The following is a 5,434-nucleotide window of genomic DNA, read 5'->3' as shown; positions in this document are numbered from 1 at the left end:
AATGTGAGGACATGAGATTTGGAGGGGCCAGGGGCAGAATGATATTGTTTTACTGTGTCTCCACCCACATCTCAACTCGAATTTTATCTCTCAGAATTCTCATGTATTGTGGGAGGGACCCCAGAGGAGGTAATTGAATCATGGGGGCTGGTTTTTCCTTTGGTATTCTTGTGATAGTGAATAAGTTTCACAAGATCTGATGGGTTTATTGGGGGTTTCCACTTTTGCTTCTTCCTCAGTTTTCTCTTGCCGCTGCCATTTAAGAAGTGCCTTTCGCCTCCTGCCATGATTCTGAGGCCACCCCAGCCATGTGGAACTGTAAGTCCAATTAAACGTCTGTTTGTTCCCAGTTTTGGGTATGTCTTTATCAGCACCGTGAAAAAATAACTAATACAATGGTTGTCTGGAACCCAGTGCCAGAAGAGTATGTAGAACCTGACAGCCTTGTAGATAATTGGGCTGTAGCCGCCCACCTTAACCCCCTTCCCTCCCATATGGGGCTAAGAATCATGAACTGGAGGCTTAAGCTCTGAACTCTACCTAATGAGTTAGGAAACTGGAATATAGTATACTTATCCCATTCCTGACATCTTTCTTTTTCCTGTGTGTAGTTTTCCTCACTTAGAGGCCAGCCCTATGGCCTGGCTGGTGGGTTTAGGGGAATTCCAAGGCTTATCAGGGATAGTGATGATGATGGTAATGGTAGTGGTGTATACAATTCTTGTGGTTATGGTAATGGTAGCCATGGCAATGATAGCAGTGACTATGGAGATGGTCATGATGGTGATGGAAGCATTTACTTAGGTTTTTTTTTTTTTTTTTTGTAAAATTTTTGGAAGACTATCTCCCTTGAGTAGAACTTTGTTTTACTTTCATCTTGTATGGAATTGCTGTCTCTGTCAAAGATCAATTTTTCCCATATAATGAGTACAGCTGCTTCTCACAAATAACAATAACATATTCTAAACTACTACTTTAGATCAGGCTTATCTCTAAGAGCGGCATATGCCTGGATTATACTTGAGTTTTTCCCACAATCCTTGGATTTTATTATCCCCCTATTGCCCAGTCTCCAGAGAGGAGGTTGGGGTCTCCTGCCCTTTTCTCAGTTTCAGAGTCTCTAAATCATACCAGCCATACTCTTGGACCACAGTGCAATAATAATAAAGCTCAATATGGGAAGAAAATTGCTCAAAACCATGCAACTAAATGGAAATTAAACAGCCTGCTCATGAATGACTTTTGGTTAAATAACAAAATTAAGATATAAATCAATAAATTCTTTGAAACTAATGAAACAAAGACACAGCATACTGGAATCTATGAAACACAGCTAACACAGTGTTAAGCAGGAAATTCTTAGTACTAAATGTCTACATCAAAAAGTTACAGAGGTCTCAAATTACCAACATAACATCACAACTAGAGAAACAAGAGCAAACCAACCCTAAAGGTAGCAGAAGACAAGAAATTAACAAAATTATAGCTGAACTGAAGGAAATTGAGATGTGAAAACCATACAAAAGAACAACTACTCGAGGAGTTTGTCTTTGAAAATAATTAATAAGATAGATAGGTAGCTAAAAAGAAAAAAGAGAGAAGATCCAATTAAACACAATCAGAAATGACAAAGGGGATGTTACCACTGACCCCACAGAAATACAGAAAAACCCTCAGACACTACTACTATAAATACTTCTATGCACACAAACTAGAAAACATAGAAGAAATGGATAAATTGCTGGGATAATATAACTCTCCAAGTTTTAACCAGAAAGATTATTTAGTCCCTGAACAGACCAGTAATGAATTACAAAATTCAACCACTAATAAAAAGCCTGCCAACCAGAAAATTCTAGGACCAAGTGGATTCACAGCCAAATTCTACCAGATCCATAAAGAAGAGCTGGTACAATTCCTACTGAAACTATCCCTTAAAATTGTGGAGCAGGAACTCTTCTCTAACTTATTCCATGAGGCCAGTTCATAGCAAAACTATGCTATAATCCTGAGAGCAAAACCTGGCAGAGACACAACAGAAAAAGAAAACTTCAAGCCAGTACGCTTGATGAACACTGATGCAAAAATACTCAGCAAAATACTAATAAACAGAATCCAACAAGACATCAAAAAGATAATCCACCATGGTAAACTAGGCTTTAACCCTGGGATGCAAGATTGGTTCAACATACACAAACTAATAAATGTGATTCACAACATGAACAGAACAAAAAACAAAAACCACGTGATTATCTCAATAGATGCAGAAAAAGGCTTTCGATAAAATTCAATATCCTTCTATATTAAAAACCCATAAAAAACTAGGCATTGAAGGAACATACCTCAAAATAACAAGAGCCGTGTATGACAAACCCACAGCCACCATCATACTGGGTGGACAAAAGTTGGAAGCATTCCTTTTGAAAACTTAAACAATATAAGTATGTCCTCCCTCATCACTCCTATTCAACATAGTACTGGGTGTCCTGACCAGAGCAATCAGGCAAGAAAAAGAAATGAAAGGCACCCAAACAGGAAGAGAGGAAGTCAACATATCCCTGTTTGCAGACAATAGGATTCTGTACCTAGAAAATACCTAGTCTCGGCCCGAAAGCTCCATGATCTGATAAACAACTTCAGAAAAGTTTCATGATACAAAATCAATGTACAAAAATAATATCTATACACACACACACATCATCAAAGATGGGAGCCAAATCAATAGTGTAATCCCATTCATAGTAGCCACAAAAAGAATAAAATACCTAGGAATTCAGCTAACCAGGTAGATGAAAGATCTCTACTAATGAGACTTATAAAACACTACTCAAATAAATCATAGATGACAGAAACAAATGGAAAAACATTCCATGTTCATGGATGGAAAAAATCAATATTGATAAAATGGCAACACTGCCCAAAGCAATTTACATATTCAATGCTGTATTTATCAAACTGCCAATGATGTTATTCACAGAACTAGAAAATAACTATTTTAAAATTCATATGGAACCAAAAAAGAGCCCAAACAATCAAGGCAATCCTAAACAAAAAGAACAAAGCTAGAGGCATCACATTACCCAACTTCAAACTATACTACAAGGCTACAGTAATCAAAATAGCACGGCACTAGTACAGACACAGACACATAGACCAAAGGAACAGAATGGAGAGCTCAGAAATAATGCCACACACCTAAAACCATCTGACCTTCGACAGAGCAACTCAAGATGGATTAAAGAGTTGTAAAACCTAAAACTATAAACACTTCTGAAGACAACCTAGACAACACCATGCTGGACATAGGAATGGGCAAATATTTCATGACAAAGATGCCAAAGGGAATTGCAACAAAAGCAAAAATTGACAAAGGGTATCTAATTAAACTTAAGAGCTTCTGTGCAGCAAAATAAACTATCAAGAGAGTAAACAGGCAACCTATAGAATGGTAGAAAATATTTGCAATATTTGCATCTGACAAATGTCTAATATCCAGAATTTATTAGGAACTTAAACCAATTAAGAAGCAAAAAACAACCCCATTAAAAAACAGGCAAATGACATGAACATACACTTTTCAAAAGAAGACATATACACAGCCAACAAGCATATGAAAAAATTATCAGCATCACTAAAAATTAGAGAAATGAAAATCAAAACCACAATGTGATACCATCTCACACCAGTCTGAATGACTATTATTTTAAAAAATCAAAGAAGAACAGATGCTGGCAAGTTTGTTGAGAAAAGGGAATTCTTACACACTGCTGGTGGGAATGTAAATTAGTTCAGCCATTGTGGAAAGCAGATTGGAAATTTCTCAAAGAACTTAAAACACAACTACCACCCTACCCAGCAATCCCATTACGGGGTACATAGGCAAAGGAAAATAAGTAATACTACCAAAAAGACACATGCATGCGTATGTTCATCACAGCACTATTCACAATAGCAAAGACATTGAATCAACCTAATTGCCATCAATGGTAAACTGGTTAAAGAAAATGTGGTACATATACACCATGGAATACTACACAGCCATAAAAAAGAACAAAATCATGCTCTTTGCAGGAATATGGATGGGGCTGGAGGCCATTATCCTAAGCAAACCAAAGCAGGAAAACAAAGCCAAATATCACATATTCTCACTTATAAGTGGGAGCTAAACACTTTGTGCATTTGGACACAAAGAAGGGAACAACAGGCACCAGGGCCTACTTAAGGGTGGAAGGAAGGGAGGAGGATGAGGACCAACAAACTACCTATCATCAGGTACTATGCTTATTACCTGGGTGATGAGATACTCTGTACATCAAACTTCTGTTACACACAATTTACCTATATAACAAACCTGCACATGCACCCCTGAACCTAAAATAAAAGTTTAAAAAATGATGGTAACTAGTATTGATGAAGGCCATGTCATACAATAATGATAGGAAGTTAAACTGTTGCATTGCTAAAGAATATTTGTTAGTGGCATTAAGAAGCAATAAAAATATGAATGCCTTTTTCAGGGTATTTTTACAATATTCATTCACAATAACTGAAAAGTTACTTTTAAAAATTATGGTTAGAATATCACATCATCACTAGAACTCATGTTGAAAAAGGATAAGGATATGGAAATTATTTTATTTTATATGTTAATAAATCAACATTGAAACCAATTTACTTAAGTAAAATATATTCATAAAAGTCTAATATATGGAAAGTTTATCTCTGTATTATTAGATGTGGGCCTTTTATGTTATTCTGAGTGCTAACATATTTTCCAAATTTTCTGAAGAATGTATTATTTTTGTAATCTGATGGGAGAAAATGCTATTTGCAAATAACAATTGATTATTTGACAATGGTAGGAAGTTCATGAAGAGAGAGATTATATCTGGGTTACTCTGTAACATTGGGGAAGCCACTTAACCTTACTGAACCTGTTTCTTTTTTCTTTCTGAAAAATTAAGGAAATCTATCCACTGACATCACAAAGATTTTCCAAGATGAAACAATATGGTATGTGAAAAAAATTAATTTGAATTTCAGGAAAACAAAAACATTGTTAATGTTTACCAAATATTGCATGATGAAATACCCAATCATATTACTTAATGAGTTATATTCAGCAAAATAATTTTAAAAGCAAAATTTCAAAATCTATTAAATATTTATTGTAAAAATTTAATATACAATAAGAAATACAGTTACATTTAAGTATCTTTGATACAATTTGGGGCGGTGATCAGCGAAAATAAGCATTTGGTAACAAGGCCGCAAAATGATTTTGCATGGATATGTTTGATCTGTATTTAAAGAAAAACATTTAACTAAGCACTTTCTGAAATCCACATGGATTCGATAGAATGTTTAAAATGTGATAATGTTTAGTTAGGCAAAGTTACAACTAAAGCAGGTGTTATCTTAAAGGTATTATTAA

This window comes from Homo sapiens, chromosome X (assembly GCF_000001405.40).
Source record: "Homo sapiens chromosome X, GRCh38.p14 Primary Assembly".
Lineage (NCBI taxonomy): Eukaryota > Metazoa > Chordata > Mammalia > Primates > Hominidae > Homo > Homo sapiens.
This window is presented reverse-complemented; position numbering follows the sequence as displayed.